Source organism: Homo sapiens, chromosome 4 (genome assembly GCF_000001405.40).
Source record: "Homo sapiens chromosome 4, GRCh38.p14 Primary Assembly".
NCBI lineage: Eukaryota > Metazoa > Chordata > Mammalia > Primates > Hominidae > Homo > Homo sapiens.
Window position 1 is genome coordinate 28,993,321 of NC_000004.12, and position 23,268 is coordinate 29,016,588.

At 36.1% G+C, this 23,268-nt stretch overlaps 1 long non-coding RNA gene across 1 annotated transcript, besides 1 other annotated feature; it reads left to right on the top strand.

Moving 5' to 3' along the window:
* The first annotated feature begins 3,463 nt into the window (after positions 1-3,463).
* LINC02364 (long intergenic non-protein coding RNA 2364) lies at positions 3,464-21,274 on the top strand. The gene is made up of 3 exons (NR_146499.1): positions 3,464-3,551; positions 15,354-15,427; positions 21,010-21,274. It is a non-coding gene; the product is annotated as a long intergenic non-protein coding RNA 2364 (long non-coding RNA).
* Positions 8,734-9,355: an enhancer, noted in NCBI's record as "OCT4-NANOG hESC enhancer chr4:29003676-29004297 (GRCh37/hg19 assembly coordinates)". NCBI's record gives its function as "activates a minimal SCP1, AML or CMV promoter by ChIP-STARR-seq in naive and primed H9 embryonic stem cells {active_cell/tissue: H9 hESC(naive and primed)}" and the evidence as "EXISTENCE:reporter gene assay evidence [ECO:0000049][PMID:30033119]".
* Positions 21,275-23,268: the final 1,994 nt, after the last annotated feature.

A 23,268-nucleotide genomic window follows, 5' to 3' on the forward strand; every position in this document is an offset into this window, starting at 1 on the left:
AAGCAACTTTTAATTTTCTGCAGGTTGAAGCTGATGGTGCAGCCGCTCTACAGAAACAGAATATACCTCTATCCAAAATTTGGTTTGCCTGTTAAAACTGATGATGTCACACATTTACCCAAAGAGTATAGGAAGGTTTATTACTCACACAATAGGGCTTTCTGAAGCGAGAGTTTCTCCAGCAAGTCTAAAATATCTTGAGAGAGTAAAAACAAACAAACAAAAAGACTGGCTTAGGATTTTTATGGTAATTAGGGGTGAGGCCAGGCTTAGAGTGACAGCATGTAATTTAAACTTCCCATCTGTACAATCTGAGGGAGCACCCAAGCTTTCTTACCAGCAATCTCAGATGTGGGGCATAAAAGGGTTAGGCGTAAAAGATGTCAGTATTCAAACTTCCAAACCTAGATTCAGACTCTCTATTAAAACATATAAAGCTAAAAAAATAATATTCCTTAATGTAAAATTGAAAGAAATTTGGAAAAGTTTGAATTTCTTAGACTGGTCAAGTCTTCCATGCCAAAATCAGGATCATCAGAGGGAAGAAGTGAAATGAGATTAGAATAGATACGTCTGGGGACAGTCACTTGAGAAACTTAAAAGTAAAGATTTTCCTGAATCCTCTGGGTTTGCAGAAGTGATTCACTCTACTTTGTTTGAAAAGAAAGACTTCTTCAACCCCTTTGCCTAAAGACTATGGGGAAGTTTCAAATGAAGCAGGTGCTTTACAAAGTTTGCTTTCCTAAGGATATGCTCCCATCTCTTCCCATGGCATAAAAGCAGTAACTAGCATTAAATTTCAGCATTATCTGACTGGGAAAGTGCTGAACCTGATAAGGGGGTAGAGTAATTTTGTACTAAATAAGCTGCAGGACACAGCTAACATATACTGCCAACGTGTTCCTGAGTAAGACTGAAAGAGAATCCTTAGGGTGCCCAATAAAAGGCAGAATGAAAGGGAAAGCTAGATAAAGGAGATTTTGTTGATAAACGTAATACCTCATGCCTTAGGATGTGACATCTCAGTGAGCATCCCTGAAACAAATTTTAATATACTGTTGAGATGACTCTTGGATCTTTGAAAAAAGTAATGATTCATATTAAATGCAGTATAGGTTGCCAGATCTACTATAGTAAGATTTGGAGGAAAATATCAAAAAGCTTAGAGAAATGAGTCTTCCTAAATGAATCTATTATATAGCTCTGGGGAATTAAAAATGTTCGACTGATTTTTTGGACAGTGTAGATGAGAATTTCCCAACCTTGGCATTATTGATATTGGGGGATTGAAATTTCTTTACTGTGGAAGTGATGGGATGTCTTGTGCCTTGTGGAATATTGGACAGTATCCCTTCCACACTAGACCTCAATAGCCCTCTCTAGTTGTAACAACCAACATGTATCCAGACATTGTCAATTGTACCCTGTGGTGCAGTGGAGACCATTGCCACAAGTTGGGCATCACTGTCCTAGAGACACTTTATTTACCAAGTTAGTAATAAATATGCAAGTGAAAAATGTTCCAGTATTGCTGAGATGTTCAGTATTGACTGTTCAAGGTAAGCTGAGAATGACAGGAGATTCTGTTATAAAGCTGGGCTCCCTATAGCATTTGGGATAATAAGATTCTGAAATACCAGGTGACAAATAGTAGAGGCAAGAGAGACAATATCATAATGGGCAGCAAGGTTGAAGTGAAGAATGTTAATAAAACATGGAGATGCAAGGGCCAAGATGAATAAACCACAGAAAAGTATATTTCTTAACATCTATGATAAAAATACATCAAGATTGAATGAGCAAAAGGTTGAAGTCAGTTACCTCAGTGAACTTTCATGGCCCATTCCCCACTTTTCATAGCTTAGACATTTTTTAGCCCAAGAACAACTGGTTATGAGGGGAACAGGGCCCCATGAAGAAGGACCCTTTAATAGCACAGCAAGTGTACACAGCAGTGATTTTTCACCTTCCTTTACTAAACACATTTATATGGCAATTTACTTGGGTAATTTTACACAGAGGTAAAGGAAGATCTCATATTTCAATGGCTAGTTAGAAAAAAAAAAATGCTATGGACACAGATACTAGATACCTAAATTCTCATTCTCTCTGCTATGGTAGACAATAAGCACATACGGCCCAGTCATAAAGGGAGTCTTGGCCCGGATCTGACTCACAGAAGATCCACTACATCCAAAGCCCTATTTCACAAATATATAATTTGAATGAACATCTCTAGTAGTTGACAGAACCCACACCTTGGTTTCTGTGGAGTAAGAATAATTGCATTAGGAAATGCCAAGAAGAAGACTCTGAAACTAATCCCTTCCATAAAATATAGCAAATCCTGAACAAAATTATATCACAGGGTGATTAGTGCTACTCACAAAAACTTAAAAGATGCAGGGATTGTGATCTCCATGATATCACCATTTAGTTCACAACATGATTCCCTAAAATATAGTTGATCCGCCTTATGATATCACCATTTAGTTCACAACACGGTCCCCTACAATATAGTTGGTCCAGCTTATGATATCACCATTTAGTTCACAACACAATCCCCTAAAATATAGTTGGTCCGGCTTATGAGTCAGGGCCACTGTAAACCTTAATTGCAGCTGTTGTACCAGATTTGGTATATTTACAAGGGTATATTAGCACAGTTTCTGTTATATAATATTAGCTATTGTTAGAGCAAGTGCCTTCTTTTACATACCCACTGAGAAGGAGAATAAGAAACAGTCACATTCACAATGAATATATGATAACAAATATTGTGGTTCTTTCTCTTGAAAAAGTTTATTTCTCTAGCTTGCTGACACAATATACCAGTAGGCTCTAGTACCATCTAAACAATCCACAGGCGATAAAGTTGGTCCACTCTTCATTTTGATTGACTTGATGAACAAAAAATGGCTAGCAGTCGGAATATCTTGCTCTAGAGGGTAAAGATATATCCCTACAGTTATTCATGTGCCTATCATATTTCTCAAATTTTTAGGAATCCAAGGCAGGCCAACATATTGAAATAATAGCTACAAAACTCCTAACCTTCTTTGGGGGTCATACACAGCATACTATACTTGGGAATGGCATTCTGACACATTTATTACATAATAATGCTATTATATGTAATGCTATTCTGACACATTTGTTAGGTAACATTAATGGCTTTGAGTGGGACTTAGAACAAGAAAAGGCTCTGAAACAGATCCAAGATGTTGTTTGAGCCATGCAACTAGAAGATCTCATAGAACTAAAGTTATCTAATTTACAGAAAAGGTTTTACGTGACGTCTATTGTACAGATTCATATGAAAACCATAGTTCAAACTCCAAGGTTTAAGAAGTAAGAAAGATCATGCCATTTGCAACAAACATGCATGCATATTTGAAAAGCAACTGTAAGTATGCTATTGGACATTGGTAAAGATTGAATATCTGACCATGGCATATCAAGAAACCATGGAATGAGTACTGCTTATCAAGATCTGGGTGTGAGAAGACTTAAAAAGTCAGATAGTCAGTGAGAACCAGCTAGAATCCATGGTAAGATGGAAGTAGTGCATCTAGGATCAATCTCAAGTTTAATGGGTAAAAATAAGATACATAAATGCCACCCACCACTGTTGCAGTAGTACCTTCTTTTATACTCACATCTGTGTTCTCAAGCTGGATCTTTTTTTTAATGGCTGGAGAGGAAGAATAGTACAGAACTTACTTCATGAATAGGTCACCTCAGTATGTTTGTATAAGCCAAAAATGCACTTTTGTACAACAACTTTTTTTTTTTCCGAGATGGAGTTTAGGTCTGTCACCCAGGCTGGAGCACAATGGCACAATCTTGGCTCACTGAAATCTCTGCCCCCTGGGTACAAGTGATTCTCTTGCCTCAGCCTCCTAAGTAGCTGGGATTATGGCCACCCACCACCAGCCCAACTAATTTTTGTATTTTTAGTACAGATGGGTTTTGCCAGGTTGGCCAGGCTGGTCTCTAGTGGTAGCTATGAGACATAATGGTGAGAAGGAATCTATTCAGTAGGTATAGGGTTGGCAGGTACATCTTATTGTCCATTTTTATGACAAAAGAGAATTGATACGGTTTGGCTGTGTTCCCACCCAAATCTCATCTTGAATTGTAGCTCCCATAATTCTCATATGTCACAAGAGTGACCTGGTGGGAGGTAATTGAATCAGGGGTGTGTCTTTCCCATGCTGTTATCGTGATAATGAATAAGTCTCATGAGATCTGATGGTTTTATAAAGGGCAGTTCCCCTGCATTTGTACTCTTGCCTGCCACCATGTAAAATGTCCCTTTGCTCTTCCTTTGCCTTCCACCATGATTGTGAGGCCTCTCAAGCCATGTGAAACTGTGGGTCCATTAAACCTCTTTTCTTTATAAATTACCCATCTCAGGTATGTCTTTATTGGCAGCATGAGAATAGACTAATACAGTTAATTGGTACCAGGTAGTGGGGTGCTGCTGTAAAGCAAAAATGTGGAAGCAACTTTGGAACTGGGTAAGAGGTAGATGTTGGAACAGTCTGGAGGGCTCAGAAGAAGACAGGGAGATCTGGGGAAGTTTGGAACTTCCTAGAGACTTGTTGACTGGCTTTGACCAAATGCTGCTCATTCTCAGATGGAGATGAGGAACTTGTTGGGAACTGGAATAAAGGTGACTCTTGCTATGTTTTAGTAAAGAGACTGGTGGCATTTTGCCCCAGCCCTAGAGACCTATGGAACTTTGAACTTGATAAAAACGATTTAGGACATCTGGCAGAAGAAATTTCTAAGCAGTAAAGTGTTCAAGAGGTAACCTGGGTGCTGTTAAAAGCATTCAACTTTATGTATTCACAAAGATATGGTTTGGAATTGGACTTTATGTTCAAACAGGAAGCAGAGCATAAAATTCAGAAAATTTTAAGCCTGCGGATATTACAGAAAAGAAAAATATATTTTCTGAGGAAATTTAAGCCCCATGTAGAAATTTGCATAAGTAACAAGGAGTCAAATGTTAGTCACTAAGAAAATGGGAAAAACATCTCCAGGGCATGTCAGAGGTCTTCAAAACAGCCCTTCCCCTCACAGTTTGGAGGCCTAGGAGGGAAAAATGGTTTTATGGACCAGGTCCAGGACACCCTGCTCTGTGCAGCCTTGGGAGATGGTGCCCTGCATCCCAGCTGCTTCAGCTCCAGCCCTGGCTAAAAGGGGCCAAGGTACAGCTCACGCCATTACTGCAGAAAGTGCAAGCCCCATGCCTTGGCAGCTTCCACATGGTATTGGACCTGTCTGTGGGTGAAAAGACAAGAATTGAGGTATGGGAACCTCCTCCTAGATTTCAGAGGATGTAAGGAAATGTCTGGATTTCCAGGCAGAAGTTTGCTGCAGGGGCAGAAGCCTCATGGAGGACCTCTGTTAAGGCAGTGTGGAAGAGAAATGTGGGGTCAGAGCTCCCACACAGAGGCACCACTGGGGCACTGCCTAGTGGATCTATGAGAAGAGGGCTACCATCCTTCAGATTCCAGAATGGTAGATCCACCAACAGCTTGCACCATGCACCTGGAAAAGCTACAGACACTGAACGCCAGCCCATGAAAGCAGCAGGGAGGAAGGATGTACTCTGCAATGCCACGGGGGCAGAGCTGCCCAAGACCATGAGAACCACTTCTTGTATCAGTGTGACCTGAATGTGAGACATGGAGTCAAAGGAGATCATTTCAGAACTTTAAGATTTGGCTGCTCTGCTGGATTTTACAGTTGCATGAGGCCTGTAGTCCCTCTGTTTTGGCCAATTTCTCCCACGTGGAATGGCTGTATTTACCCAATGCCTGTACCCCCATTGTATCTAGGAAGTAATTAATTTGTTTTTGATTTTACAGGCTCATAGGCAGAAGGGACTTGCCTTGTCTTAAATGAGATTTTGGACTCTGGACTTTGAGTTAATGCTGAAATGAGTTAAGACTTTGGGCGACTTTTGGGAAGGCATGATTGTTTTTGAAATGTGAGGACATGAGATTTGGGATAGGCCGGGGCAGAATGATATGATTTGGCTGTGTCCCCTCCCAAATCCCCTCTTTAACTGTAGGTCCCACAATTCCCACGTGTCATAGGAGGGACCCTTCTGTGGGAGGTAATTGAATCATGGGGCTGGGTCTTTCCCATGCCGTTTTCATGACAGTGAGTAAGTCTCATGAAATCTTATGGTTTTGTAAAGGGGCATTCCCCTACACAAGCTCTCTTGCCTGCCACGATGAGAAACATGACTTTGATCCACATTCTCCTTCAGCCATGATTGTGACGCCTCCCCAGCCATGTGGAACTGTGAGTCAATTAAACCTCTTTCCTTTATAAATTACCCAGTCTCGAGAATGTCTTTATTAGCAGCGTGAGAACAGAGTAATAAAAGAATTAAACCAAAATTATCATTTTAGTTATTTATTTCATTTTACAAACAGGTTATCACTCTGTCATCCACGCTGGAGTGCAGTGGCATGATCATAACTGACTTCAGCCTTGAACTTCTGGGCTCAAGTGATCATCACACTTAAGTCTCATATAGTGCTGGGATTACAGGCATGTGCCACCACATCCAGCTCCAAATTTATTATATATAATATTCATGGACAGCACCAAATGGGTTATCTGTTTGGCCATTGGCTTGTAAGAAACAATATTGAAATATGGGTACAAGGAACTTTGGGGAAGATGCATATGGGTGAAGCAATAAGAATGGGCACAAGTGTGCAGATCTTTAATTTGTATACTAGTAGCTACTGAGGAATATTCACTGAGAAAGAGATTACGCTCTTCTCTTAAATTAGTAGACCACGTGGACTCGGACTCCAAGGGATGGAAATCAGGATGACTCTACTATCCTACTGAGCCTCTTAGGAATTTTGTGTTTCTTAAACTTGCAACTTTAGATTCTGTAGTTCCAAAGTCCTAGTTCTCACAGAAGAGATGTTTCCTCCTGGGTACACAGTAAGAGATTCACTAAACTTACATAACCACAGTGGCCTTATGAACTGTTTGGCTCCTTGTGCTAGAAGATTATCAGGAAAAAAATAGAGTAGTCATAATAGAGTAATAATTGAACATGATCATTATACATGGGAAGGTTGTTGGCAAATATCAGAGCAGGAATGAATATGTTTTGCACTTTGATGATCAACTGGGAAATACCTTGATAGTTTCTATTCAGTTTTAACTGTAACTGAGCAGGTGCAGAAATCTTAGCTTGACCAGTAAATTGAACCTAGAAGCTCAGAATCTCCTCAAAGATGAGAATCTGTGTCACCAGGCAAACAACCTATACCTACAAAATGCTATCTGAGAAGGAGTAACTTTAGAATGGATGGTGAAGAGGGAAGATGATGGGTATTCTTTATGGCCTTCAAGACAAAAAGCAACATCATGTTTTATAGTGAATAAAATTAACTCTTCTCTTATACATTCCCTAGAAATTGTGACCAATAAGAATCCCAGAGAAGTTCTGCCCTAATGGAGTCAACTTGATTTGAGATGCAAATAGATTTGCGCAATGTGAGTTGTGGACTATAACAGATGCCGTTGGTGTACCACCCAGATCCATTTTTTGATTTAGGGCAATATGCATCCCCTCAACTACTGTGTTTTCTGCCACTTTCTGACAGCTTCACTCTCTTGAGAATTACTTTTGCCTAGAACAACGTTGCCCAGAGATGCCTGTGAGATTTTGCACTTGTGCTTCAATCCCAGGACAGTCTGAATCAATGACACACTGGAAAGCAAATTTAAAAGACTGGTTCCCTTTCCTCAAGGAAGGGACAACTCGGTTGACATTTATGCTTCAGAAATTCCCTCTGTATGATTTATGAAAACATTCAGTTTTACATATTTGTCTTAGATATTCATAAGCTTATTAGAATACTTACATCTGGCAAAGGTTTCAATTAAATAAATGTTAAATTGTAATGCAGTTTTTCTCAATTTATAATACAATATAACCTCCTTTAGATTAAGCATTAGATAGCTTACTGAATTAGCATTTTTTTGTAGTGAAAAGTTGATTTATATGCTTTCCAAAATGGATATAATTAAGTTGATTTTTTTTACTTGCCTTAAAATTTTTACTTAAATCTCTCTCTTCAGCAACTTATATGTAGTGTTAGAGTTATTGAAGCTATTAGAATAAGATCTGTAGATTGGCAGCTCTCTACAGAAGTCATACTTGTAACAAATTCCTTAACTCCTGTATTCTAACCAGGGGAAATTGAGTGAAATTGTATTGTCAAATTGAGAATCCTACCAGATTATTACAAATAATCCTTGCATATTTGTAAATAATAAATGAATATAAAGATGTTGACTTATAATCATTGAATTTGGTTTCTCATTGACAAGTACTTAGAAAACAATACTTTGGGAATCATACATTAAATTTATAAACCTTTATCTAATATGATAATCCATCCTAACTATGTTACAAGAAAAGGAATTTGAAAGTGCTTTTAAATGTAAAGGTCTACAGAAATAACATTGGTATAAAATGCAATATTTTCAATAACCCTACAATTATTATGCAACCTGTAGTTATTTATATGAGATCACAATTGAACTGGAATTACAGAAAAAGAAAGGAATTACAGAATTACAGAAAGAAAGAAAGAAAGAAGGAAAGAAAGAAAGAGAAAGAAAGAAAGAAAGAAAGAAAGAAAGAAAGGAAAGAAAGAAAGAAAGAAAGAAAGAAAGAAAGAAAGAAACAAACAAACAAACAAACAAACAAAGAGAAAGAAAGAAAGAAAGAAGGAGGAAGAAAAGAACACACTCAGTTCTGTAGAACCAAATAAAAATCATTTATCTGGCCACTCTGCTAACATCCCTCCCTAGCACTTGTCTAGCTTAGCCACATTTTCTGATAGGTTTGTTTACACTTGCTAGAGATCAGCCACCACCCCTGGTGCTCAATTCAGCCTTTAGATACAGGCTGGCAGCTCCCCTTGACTATCACAAAAACAGAATTTGGCCTGCAGTGATTCACACAGATGGGGGGCAGAAAAACAAACTTCAAAGAACTAAAGTGACCATGAAGCTAAGGCTCAGGAGAGGAAATGGTGAAGGGGATTAAGTGGAATGACAAAGGGATTTTGTACAGCAGCATTGTGGGATCTCTTACTTACACTTGTTAAACAGTAAGAACATCACAACCCCTTGGAGTTCATAAATAGCATCCTTAACTATGAAGTCTGATATCTCAGTCATTCCTTGGGCAATATAGTATTGGCTTAAAAGTTGTCAGTCAGTAGAAGATACTCTTTAAATGTTGTCAATGATTGACACTGAGGTTTTTTTTCTTTCATTGCAAGAGAAAAATACCATCCTTGTCCCCAGTTTTGACTACAATCTCATTCAATGTAAGGTGTTATAAAAAAGGAAAGAGAAAAATGAGGAGTCCAGGATGCTGTCATTCTTTCCTGTCATTTATATGTACTTAGGAAAGGGATTCAATGTGTTCCTAGGGGGCTCAAACTATTATTATTCAGAGATAATTATCCAGAGATAATAACTCTTATGAAAACCCAACAGACAAGGTATAATGCTTCTCTCTTTCTTCTTTTGTCTTTTCTCCTTCCTTCCTTCCTTCTTTCCTCCCTGCCTTCCTCCCTGCCTTACTTCTTCCTTCCTTTCTTCCTTCTCTTTCTTCTGGATTTTTATGTGAGATCCCTACATTTTTAAATTTTGACAATGCATTTAAGTAAATGATAATCAAAGAGAAACAGCCACTATTTGACCAATTGGCAACTACTTAGAAACAGCCACTATTTGATCAATTGGCAACCACTTAGAAATCTGTATTTTAGTGCCTGTCTCTCTAGACCGTAGTTGTTAATATGGTATTTAGCCATTTTATTGAGATGTAATTCACAAATATGAAATTGTTTTCAGTAAATTCATAGATATGTATAAACATCACCACAAAACATTTCAAAATATTTTTTATGACCTCAAAAACAAACCCTGGACCCTTTACCTATCACTCTCTTGTTTCCTTCATTCCCAAGCAATCACTAGTCTGCTTCTCATCTCTATAAATTTGCCTATTGTGGACATTTGATTTAAGTGGAATAACACAAGGTCTTTTGTGCCTGGCTTCTTTCACTTATAGCATGATGTTTTTCAGTGAAAAAGTGGGAAGATGAAGTGTTTGGAGGGCTTTTAAATGGAGTAAAATGGAAACAAAGACAAGTTATCCCAACACCAAAAAGAGTAGGGGATAGAAGGATATGTCAAGGTTTGAAAACCATCCTTCAGAAATGCAGGAAAGTCAAAGCTAGAAGTAAGTACTGAAAGCTCTCTTCAATCACACCTAGAAGACACCTCGAGGATCACACCTTGTGAAAACTCAAGAGCTTTAGCTTTTGATAACGAATCTTGACCAGGGATGACAGTCACCTGGTACGCACACGTTTGGCTGTATCAGTTGTTTACAGAGACGAGGTCTGATTTGGTTATCTGCATCTGTGACCTATCTGTTGTTAAAAAGTATAAATATTCTGAACTGGGATAACAATTTTTCAGGATGCTACCCTTGAGGAAGTCATAGGTTCTAGTCACCAGTGTTGTTCAGAATAGGAAAAAAAAAATGTAGAATAATGTAAAGATCCTCAGTGCTTGGCTCTAACACACTCAGAGCTATCTGCTTGTAATAAGGAGAATTATCCAAAAACATCCTCTGCAAAGAAGCAGAGCATTTTCAGGTCTCAGCACATCATTTCTAAAGAGGCTAGAAGGTCTAATTTCAATGGCTAGATGCTAATTGGAATTTTAAAAAACTAGCGTTGAAGAAGACTTTCTTAAAAAGTCTTTCAACAGTATACAAGGAAAACAAAATTTTGAAACGTGGAATTTTTAGGTAAACCACAAGAGCAGAGGAGAGTCTTTAAAATATGGAGTATGAGTTAGATACATAGCTAAGAAGGATTGCTAGATGACTGGGGGCTTGAACAACACAATACATTGAAAAAACATCAGCAACTTTCTTTTTATAAAAAATGCTTTAATATACAACTCTACTTTAGCAACATCATTTAGAAAAGCAGTTCTTTTGAATTTGGAGTGTCATTTTTATTTTTAAAACAGAATACATTTTCCATGTTTTTTTTTTTCAAATTCAAAGCAGGCATTTTATGGGATTTTTTTTCCAAGTAATTTTTTTTCTTGTTATGTGCTACAGTAGAAACTATATTTTGTAGGTTCTAATTTAACAGTACTTCTTAAACACACCACCCTTTATTATGCAAACCATTCTCTGTGACCACATCTTGGCTATGCTCACACATTCAAAAACTTAAGCTTTGAAAGATTAGGTAACTTTTCTAAGATTCACAAATATCAAATGGTTAAGCTCTTATTTAAATCTAGGTCTCTAATATTAAAGTCCATGTGATTTTCACTATCACTCATCATAATATAGAAAAATGGTTTTAAAAACATAAATAATTTTACGGTGTTACAAAGATATCACATTCTTTACAGAAAACTCAAGATAATGTTTTCTATGAATAAAACATACTGTTTCAAAACTCATTAGCTAGGGTTTTGAAATCAGATCAGGAATCGTATCCAAGCTCTTCACCATCAAAAAGAACCCATGAGGAGTTATTGAGTCTCTCTGAACCTCCATTTATTTCATGCAATTTTATATACAGAACATATTTGCAAACGCTATATCAATACAGCCCAATAATGTTTAATTTTTTTAAAAAAAAGTTTCCAATAACATTTTGAACAACATTAGGCATAGAATGATTCACCATCTTGTAAGTTGGCCCTATCTCCAGTCTCCTTCAAAGTGAGTTTATTTTTCTATGTTCCAGCAACCACCTCTTCACAGAAAGTCATAACTGTCATATTATTTCTGTGTGATAAAGACACATCCCACCATTCTATTCTTTGGGAATTGGTAGACATATTGTGTGTGTGTGGTCTCTGTGTTGGTTTAGTTTGATTTACTTTCCTGCTAATCAGGACCACTTCGATATATATTAATATAGCTCTTTTGTTTGTTATGACTACAATCCATGTAGAAAAGCAATGATCCCTGGAGCAATGGTTCTATTTGACTTTTGCTCAAAACAAACTCCAAAATTCGGGCCTCTCCCCTTCATAGGAAAGCTGGCATCGCAGTTAACCTCCTGAGGCGAGAGATAGAAGAGTGATTTAGCAAAGCCTTTGATTCATGTCTCTCATCCATAAAGTTTTAAAATGTTTCAGATACATTAAGTCTTCATTACAAGTAAAATCCCTGTGAGGCTGGTCATTATTTTAAATGAGATCTCCAGATTTTCTAGTTTTACAGTGTAGGCCAGTGAACAATCTACTGTGTTTTTAAGCTCTTAGGTCTGATTATCTTTAATTTCTTTTTTACGTTTTATGTTCAATTTTTGACAAGAACTCAGGAAACTGTAGTACCTCCTTTATGTGACATTATCTGGCAATGAGTTTTCTAGTGAAGCAAACTTTCTGGATAATTGATGATTAACTCTTTATATCTTAATGGTTTCATACTTTTTAATGTTTTTATACAGATTTCTTTTATGGTACCCAGGATTTGTTTTAATTAAGTTTGATAAGGCACACAGGCACGAACGTGATTGTGGTTAATAAAGGCATTTGCATTATTCTCACGGTCTCCTAAAAATAGAAGGCCCAGCACACTATGCCTGGGAAGTATCTGCATGAGATGAGCAGGCAGAGAGGAGAGCTGAGGGCAGGGCCTTGACTGGAGTTTTTGTTGGGAGGAATGGACAATGGAAAGCACGCAAGCCAAGTAGGTTTAAAATGAGATATTTTGATTAATTTGGTGGGCTGTAGGGTGCAGGAGGAGTCCCTAGTTGTCAGTGACATTGCTCTGGGGTGCTTAGGCCTGGAGGAAAGTGTTCCATAGTTTAAACATAACAGAAGGAGGAGGAGACATAGATTTGGCATTGGCTGGTTTGCATACCAAAGGCATGCTCTCAAGCAAGTTCTTTACTATCTCTGAGAATGAACTAATCCTGGGTGAGACAATCTCTCTCAGGTCAGCAAGGGCCAGATGCCACAGCATCAGGAATTCAGAAAATAGGAAAAACTACTGGGTATATACCCAAAGGATTATAAATCATGCTGCTATAAAGACACATGCACATGTATGTTTACTGTGGCACTATTCACAATAGCAAAGACTTGGAACCAATCCAAATGTCCAACAATGATGACTGGATTAAGAAAATGTGGCACATAAACACCATGGAATGCTATGCAGCCATAAAAAGGATGAGTTCATGTCCTTTGTAGGGACATGGATGAAGCTAGAAACCATCATTCTCAGCAAAGTACCCCAAGGACAAAAAAACAAACACCGCATGTTCTCACTCATAGGTGGGAATTGAACAATGAGAACACTTGGACACAGGAAGGGGAACACACACCGGGGCCTGTTGTGGGGTGGGGGGAGGGGAGAGGGATAGCATTAGGAGATATACTTAATGTAAATGAGGAGTTAATGGGTGCAGCACACCAACGTGGCACATGTATACATATGTAACAAACCTGCATGTTGTGCACATGTACCCTACAATTTAAACTATAATAAATATATGTATATATATAAAATAGTTAATTGTTAATTCTAAATGCATTACTTTATCACTTTTGAAATCACACCCTAAGCAAGTTTTTGTTGACAAAATTATTTTTATTAAAAATAAAGCATCATTTTTCCTTGCAATATGGTTATGGTGAAATAATCTCAAATTATAAAACTTTTTAAAATTATTCTTCTTTCTATCTGGTGAGATTACTAAAACTTGTCAGTTGCAGTTTTAGAATTGAAACAAGAAAAAAATATATAACTGCTATATGACTGACCTGCTGAATATATTTGAATTAAAAAAAACAGTAGATAGGTTGTTTTAAAATATCTCATGACCGGTTTTTAATATGTTGTTTTATACCTCTCTTTTGTGAGATTTCCAACTACAACTTCTTGTTTCTGATACTAGGCCTCCTCTGCTTCACCTCTATCCATTTTTTCCCTCTGATTTACAACGATAAGGAACTTGAGATAAACACCCTTTTCAATGTGTGCATAAATGAAAACAGTAACTGGCATGATCTTTATAATATGCAACATTTTGCATGGGCAATTTTGACTCTTTTGATCACTTTTGTCACAGTGCCTAAGTCTCTGTGTTGTTTATTTGACTATGCCAAGATGGTGAGTTCTGCACCTGTGATTTGCCACTCCAATTTCCAAATTTTTAAATAGAGTCATGAATCGCTTAACAATGGGAATAGGTTCCAAAAATTGAGTTATTAGCCAATTTCATGATGCAAAAGTCATAGGATATACTTACACACACTTACATGAAATAGCCTACTACACACCTAGGCTATAAACCATAATAAACCATACATGGTATGGTTTATTGCTCCCGAGATGCAAATTTGTACAGGATCTTACTATATAAATATTGTAGGCAATTGTAACACAATGGTAAATTTTTGCATATCTAGACATATCTAAACATAAAAAAGGTACAGTAAATATACAGTATTACAATCTTATGAGACCACTGTAGCATAAGCAGTTGATTGTTGACTGAAATGTTTTCATTTCAGAAGACTCCTGTGTCACATAAAACTTATATTAAATAAATGTGTATGCTTTTGTGTTGCCAATCTGTCTTTTGTTATAGAGAACTCAGCCATGAACTTAAGATGGGAAAAAAAGATACTCTTTTTTTCTACAATACCGATATTACCAGACAGAATTTTTTGTCTGTTTATCTTTTTAGTGTTTCTTTCTTGCTCAATGTTCACTTCTTAGTTGTAGATCTAATACAGCTTTTTCACTGTAACTGTCATCTTTCCAATCAACAAATATACCAAATATCTTGTTTCCCTATCTTATTTTTTTATCCTAGGTTTAAAAACAGACAAATACCAATACACAAGAAATACACACACACACACACACACACACACACACACACACACACACTTCAGGTTTAATGTAGGATTTTCTAGTTCTATTATATGGAGTTTGAGGAAACTACAGTACGAGAATTCTACTTTAGATCCCAGCCTTCTGACCCCATAATTAAACAACTAAGATAAGTAAATAAGAAAAATATGACAACATTGAGCAAAACAGTATTTTATACTTTCCAGATCTGTTCTTGGAATTCTAAAGCAGAGTTCTCCTGGTGAGCTGGAATGGACTACGTTCATATTTAGGGCCATATTTAACTTTCAGTTAATTATACATAAGTCTGCTGGGCTAATTAATCATCCCCAATTCTCTAAACTAAATTTGATGTTTAATACAGATCTGTTGTGGGAAAACTAGAAGACCAAAAAAAGCACGAAAGTCAAGAAAGAAGTCTCTTTTCACATGAAAGTGGTATGTTGCCCTTGACGGATTTGGCTGTATATGGAGAAAGAGAGTGAGAGTTATCAAGATTGACCCAGAGGGTGTGGGTCAGCTGCCCTTTTCTGAAGAACAGGTTAAATAGAGATACAACATTAGAGGGTTCTATCCATATGCATGATATTTATGCTACACAGTAAGCATATAGAATCATAATCATGGCTAAATATTTGCCCTGGAATGTGAACATGAAGGTTATTGTAGGTTTCTTTTAAGAAGGAATCATGTGAGATAGGGCAGCAACCATGACTGAATCTCTCTACTAGATTCTATTATTTATACTGTCTTTTTTAAAACATGTTTATCAGGAAATAAAGGAAAAGCTCCTTCTAAATTAATTGCCTAAAATGGAGTTTTGCCTTTAATTTGCCTTTGATGTTGAGCTGAATTTTTCTTTTTCATACTCTTGTTTCTACTTTCATTTCTTCGATTGACAGGTTTGGTTTTTTATCTTTATTTGTAAGAGCTCTTAAAATATTCATGTAACAAATAGAATTCGAAGCTTGCCCTCCAAGCTTTTACCATGTATATGCATAATAGTAGTGCTTCACATACAGTGTGAAAATTATCAGAATCAGAAGGGAGTCACTAGTGTTTTCAAAAAGATAAAGACAAATAGAGCCAGAAAAGGCCCTGAGGAGAAGGTTCTCATGCTGGTATGCCTGAGACCAAAACTACCACAAAGCATTGCAAAAATCACAACCTTGTACAGAAGCTATTGCAACCTTACACAAAAATACTTCTGCAAAAATATCTTCCCAGAAACTCTTCTCAGATTATTGTCACCCTTATTATTGATCCTTATAGTCAAGGATAATTACCTGACAACAATTGTGTAATCCTCTTCATTTTTTCCTTTAAAAACCTTTGTCTTCCTTGACCTCCCTGAATACACACATAGTTTACTATGGCTCTTGTATTCCCACTGAAATACCTTACTCCTGAATAAATATCTTTCTTCTTTTAGAGAGCCTCTCTCTGTTATTTAGTTTGACAACAAGAATAAGGTAAGTTGTGCTCATGCAGCTGATATTCTTGCAGAAAAAGACAATATACCACAGGCATAATAAATAACTAACTTAAAACTTGTGCTGGAAGATGATAAATACTGTACAAAGTAAAATAAAATAGAACATAATTAGGGGAATATGGATTTCCAGACTGAACATTTTAAATAGATTTGTGAGGTTCAGCTTTATTAAGAAGGTGATATCTGCGCAAAGGTAAGGCAGGAAGCCAATTGCAAATCTGGGAGAAGAGTGCTCCAGGCACAAAGATCAGCTAAAGCAAATGCCCTAAGGATGGAATGTGCTTGTCAGTTTCAACAACAGCTGGAAGGCCAATATGCAGGGGCAAGCGAGGAAAAGAAAAGGCAAGAACCAGTTGGAGGCAAGGTGGGGGTAACGGAGTGTCATAGCCTGGACACAAATCACGTTGTACCTAGGAGACCATTGTGGAGAAATTTGAATTTAATATTATTAAAACGCAGAATTTTGAGCAAAGAAATAGTAACATAATCTGATATGTTAAAATACTCTGATATATGTATATATATACAAATATATATATCCAATTATTTTATGCCTTTAATACTTATTCATGCTTATAAAGCAGAAAAATAGCATAAAAGAAATGTTGGAATAAAAACTTTTAAAATTAAATTTTAGTTTCTCCTTTCTGAAGTTAAAAAAGGACACTGAAACCTTGAAACAGAAATTACAGTTGATTTAAAAAACCCACAAGAACATGCCAAAAATTTATCTTATCTTTAGATGTAATGTCAGGTAGTAATGAAATTTTCTTACCAATAGCCTACTGTTAGTCAAGTTTTTTGTTTTTTTTTTTTTCATTTTGAAGACTATTTTGAATTTCTCTGGTCTGATGAGAGAAACTGCTTTGATGCTGCACCCCTTTGGAATTTTGATTGTTCACATGACATTCATCACAGTCATAACAATACAGGTAGAGATTCAAGAATATTGGGTTAAAAATTCAAGGCTTATGTAGGCTTCTGTTTCAAACACAAATTCATGTAACTCCAGAAAAAATCGTGGCAATTCATACAATAAACACCACTGTCATGAATATTCATTGGTGATGATGACAGGTTCAGAAAACAGGATTTTCCAGAGCTTCAAAGAGCCACCGCTAATTTACAAAATAATTGGAAAGCTGTGCAAGCAGGAAAAAGTTCCCATCGTATGCCAGCACTCAATCCTTCAGTAGAAAGAGATCACTCCAGCTGCTGTTATATGAAAAGCCTGTACTATAGGCAAAGACACAGCTTACGAGAATATGGCAGTAACCTAGGCATAGAGATGACCATGGGATAAAGGGCTAATAAAAATGTGCTGAGAGACTGTCTGAGTTTGCATATATTTGGAAGTTATGGGCAACTAAAATAATAGATTACATGAGACTCCAGGAGAAAGAAGGGTATCAACGAAGTCTTCAAGGATTTGTACTTGGCAAATGGAAAGAGGAAATTGCCATCATCTGTAATGGGGAAGGTCTTGTTAGACCAAGTTTCATGAAGAATTTCAGGGTTAAGTTTTTGGAATTTTATTTTTTCTGGCATGTATGTTGAAAAATATTTTTTCTCTTTAATATTTTGTTTTAAATTATGCTTATATTACCTTTTGACATATATAAATTATATAATTCCTTTAGATTATTTATGTATTCAGAATATTTATTATGTATTTCCTATGTATCAGGCACTATTGTTCATATAAATAATATCCTTGTTTTCATGGCAGTTACAGTCTATTAGTTGGGAAAATATTAAATACATTAATTGTTATCAGACATTATACATGATATGTATACACACATTTTATTTATATGCTGTCACATAGTGATAAATATAAAATCATTTTAATGTAAGTTTTCATTTTATGGAAGACTTCTATTTAATTGAGGCACTTAGGAAGTTCATTTCTGAAGGTAATAAATTTGACCTGGCTTTTGTACAAAATAAGAAGTTGTCATAAGGCTATCTAGAGTAATAGGTTGGGTGGAGCAAAGTGCAATAGTTCCAAGGCAGAAGAGTTTTTAAAACGGTAAAAAGTGTGGCAAGACAATGGGAGGTGAGTAGGGGAGGCAGTCAGGGACAAGTTCCTGTTAGAATTTATAAGCCTGGAAGAAAATGTGAGTATTTTTCTAGGCATGATAGGAAGCCACCGGAGAACTTCGATTGGAGGAACGTCATAAACAGATTCATGTGTCAAATAGTAATTTGGAAAAGATAGACAGAAGTATATGTGTAGGAGGATTGATAATATTGGAAAATGGAAGACTCTCAGAGGGGATTGCAATGGTCACATTTAGGTACGTTGTTGGCTTGGGCTAGGGTGATATTGCTAGAAAAAAGTTAGATTTCAGGGGTATTTTGAAGACTGAGTGACTGCAAGGTATCTCCAAGATTTTTAACCCCATTCACTGGAAGAACGGAGGTGCCATGACTGAGAAGAAGAATATTAGAATAAGGATTATACACTTTGGAGAGGAAAAATACTTAGAAAGTCATGAAAATTTGACTGTAGGATTCAAGGACTAAGTGCTAAGAAGCAAAATGTGGCTAGGTGAGAGGAACAGGAGATGATCGAAAAAGATTCAGGATGCCCAACAACATTTGGGAGAAAACAGAGTCTAGATTGGAGGAAGGAAGGAGCTCTCAGAGCATTTATTATTCCCTATTAGTTTTTACTTTTACTTCTTGCATTAATACCTTGAATCTTATCATCATAGATTCCTTCCTGGACTAACTCTTAGAAGAGCTAAAGAGCCTGGATGGACTGGAAGTGAAAGTGTTCCTGATAGCATTTATCTCAGAACAAGGGGAAATAATAGGATACTGGTTATCCTAAGTAGCAATAGCCGGGACTAAAAGGGGTGCCAATATTCATCAAAGAATTATTTATGTAAATATTTTTTACAGGCTGTGCTAATGGTCTATCAAGATATCCTGAGTTTCCAGTAGAGATGTTTCAGCCATAACACAGGCCTGGTAGAAAAAGTATGGGAACTTCTATTTCTTGAAAAATAATATCTGCATTTTTCTTAGTTTTATTTATTGGTGTTATATAATTTTTCATGATAAAACTTTTTTTTCTTCAGGGGAAAAAGAAGGAAGGAAAAAAGAAAGAAAAAATCAATTAATAGAAAAAAAAAAAAGACAGGAAAGAAGACAGACCTCTATTTTGCATGGAGATCATTAAAAAGCCCGTATTAAAAGTTACTTTGTGGAGGTAGTAATGTCTCCAGTATTACAGAAGGGACAGTTCAGTATATAATGGAGTGGATGGTAGTAATAAAGTTTTTATGGAAAAGATGGATCTTGAAACCTGTTTAATATCTAGGTAAACATTGAAAAGGGAGAGCACTTTTAAGATAGAGGAAACGAATTCAAACAGATGGAGACAAGAATAATTATCAAATGTGTGCATTCTCAAAATTTTTGAATGATCCTCTGATGGTGACTATTATTTGTCTCTGTGCTTCCTCTTTCTTTAAAACAAGAGAATTTAGTAAAATTCTCTATTGGCCACCAATCTTTTCCTCCTCTGATAAATGTGTGAACTTACTCCACTACTGCTGAAAATCACTTTGACAAATTAAAAACAATTATGTTTTCATCAACATTGAATTACAGATATAAAATATCGTATGGGAATTATAATTTGATAAATGGGAACATTCTGGGTCCCATATTGAGTCCAGATGGTTACAGTGTCTTTAATACATGTATCCATTTGGTATTACCGCATTTGTGTACCACAGTCTCCTCATTCATGTTTAATGATGGATAGATTCCAAATAATACAAGATGTTCTCCAACATGTTAAACTTATGGTAAGTGATCAGACAGTGAGCTCTCTCTTCCCAGTATACCTTGTAGTCTCAGCATAACTGTTTGAAGATAATCTGAATTTCAGTCAGATTGCATGATATTTTCCACTCTTGGAAAAAAAAGGTAGGATAAAATAGACAATTGCTTCCCTCCAAAAGAGGGAAATGTTCTTAACCTAAACTTAAAGTTTGCAGTGCACCTAAAATTCCAGAATGCTTTCTTCAAACTGCTGTTAAATAGTAAACTTTGGACAACTATTAGTGAGGTCTAGATTTGGGAGGATTGACTATTTGCAAAGTTGTTTACAGTTAAATTAGGAAAGTAGGCAAATGTTGCTTTCAATATAATTCAGATGTATTTATTTTTCAATCTCTTACCTTTACTATAAATGCATTCCTCACCTACCAGGTTTTTGTATATTCATTTTTCTTCTTTTAAAGCAAGTGACAATGTTTGTAATTTGTTTCCTTAAGTGCATCTCAGAATTTTCAACCTATTCTAAAATTTCATGGTTTCCCATTCATTATTCAGAAAATATAAAATCAAATTATTTGGTATAACAGGAAGGTTTACTCACAGTCTTCAAATTTTTTATCCTCTCTAGTTTTGCAACATTGTCCTTTTTTTAACTTTTCACTTTTTAATTAATGAACTTGATATTCCATCCAAATTAAATTATTTTTCTTTCTTCATACTTCAACAGGCCTGAAGACAAATACTGCTATGAATGGTTACATCTAGGACTTCTGAAATTAGCCCCAGATTCAACTCATTTTTTTCTGCATTTGCTGAGCAATATGACATGTTTACACCGATTAGCTAAAAAGTTATGTGAAGAATGGGCAACAATATCTCTAAGGCAAGATATGTTCAGATCCAATATAGTTCATATAGACCTTGTCAGAGTAAATGACCATGTGCCTTTCAGAACACTAAAGAATAAAATCCTTCCACATTAGAATGACAAATATGTTTTTATAATCAAACTGTTTTATTCCCAGCTTTATTACTTCCAACTGAGTACAATAGAGGCTGTTCTACCATTCTCCAATTTTCCCTGAGTAACATAACACCGATCAGTGGGCACAATTAAAAGACTACATTTCTCAACCTTCTTTTGGCATCACGTGACTAAATTTTTGTCAAAGAGAGAAAGGCAGAAGCGTTGCCTATGCGCTCCAGAAGACTTTGTGAAAGATAGCAGGGGATTTCTGATTTCTTCTTTTCCTGATATTCCAATAGGCATGTGTTAGACCTTTTGACATTGTCCTGTAGTTCTTGGATGTTCTGTGCTTTGTTTTTTTATTTTATTTTATTTTTTAATTTTTATTCTCTTTTCTGTTTACTTCTCATTTTGGGAAGTTTGTATTGATTTCTCTCAAAGCTCATTAATTATTTGTTTATCCATGTCTTACCTACTGATAAACCTGTCAAAGACATTCTTCATTTCTGTTGCAGTATTTTTTATTTCTAGAATTTCCTTTTGAACTCTTCTGAATGTTCTCTTCTTCCTACTTCTATTGTCTATCTCTTCTTAAACATTGTGTATATTAAAATGGTAATTTTAAATTTCCTGTTTGATAATTCTCAAATCAGTGTAATAACTCTGCCTGGTTCTAATGCTTGCTTGGTCTCTTTAGGTTATGTTTTACTTGCATTTTAGCATGCTTTATATTTTTTTGGTGAAATCCATATATATTGCATCAGGTAATTGGAATTGAAGTAAACAGGCTTTTACTATGAGCTTTTATGAGCTTTTAAATTAGGCTACGAGATGAACTGTTTTGAACATTTGTTAAAGTTGTAAGTTCCAGAGGCTTCACAGTCCTTTATTTTCTTCATTTATTTTCTCACCTATTGTGTTTGTGCTTCCCTAAGAATTCCTTTTAAAATAAGAGTCTATACTTTGCAACTTTCTATTGTAATCCAGTGTTATTATATTAAAGCCCTGTTGATAAGGTGGTAAGCTGTAAGGAAAACAAAATATTCTATAGTTGTATGGTTAAATATCATTCTTTCAGCTGGCCTGCGTCACAAGGCTGTACGCTTCACTGGTGTTTCTTAGCTTTCATCCTTCCCCCACTAAATTGAAACAAGAAGGCTAAAGGGGGCTGAAGTTGAAAAAATACTCTTTTTCCACATGAGATAAGGCTCTGGTAAAGTTTCTTCCAATGGAGATAGGTGTTGTTGTTTATTGTTGTTGTTTGTTGTTTTGTTTTTATGGAGAAATCTCTAGGTGTATTTTATAATGATCATACCTCCCCAACCTTGCCAGGTCCTTCAGAGGATCTTTCATGGCTCTCTACTAATAAGAATCTGGTGAGTTTCTGGTAGTAGAACCCACAAAAGTGTGAAGGACGTTTTTAGAATGCAGCCCTAGGAATTTCTCAAACTCAAGCTAGTCTACATTTCATTTTGGGCAGTTTATTAAAATTACTATTTAAGTTTGCCTACCAGTTTATGGTTCCTCAGCTTCTCCTCCAGGTAAGCAGATCTCAGCTATGACTATCTGGATTTCCCTTTCTCTCCAGATTTTAGGCTTGCTGTTTACCCTGTGACCTCAGTTATCTGATGGGTCCAAGAAAAGTTAATTGACTTTCAATTTCCTTAGCTTTCTGTTATTGTAAAGACAGGAGTGATTACTTATAAGCATTTACATGTTGAACCTGAACCTTTAAGTTGAGTCTATGCTTTACAAAATATAACGTATTTTATTTTGTATTTGAAGCCACTATATGTGTGCACCAACATCAAAAGATGATTATGATTTCAAATGCTTCAGAATTTAGGAATTTTGAGGAGAGTGACATTGTTTCAATTTTCTCTTCCAAGGGCATTTTCAAGTGTTTGTCCTAAAACATGAAAATCGCCTTTGGAGCCTGTTAAAAATAAATTATTGAGCCCTTTCTCCATAACAATGAGGCGTAATTTCTTTGAATGGAGGCCAGAAATACGTATATTA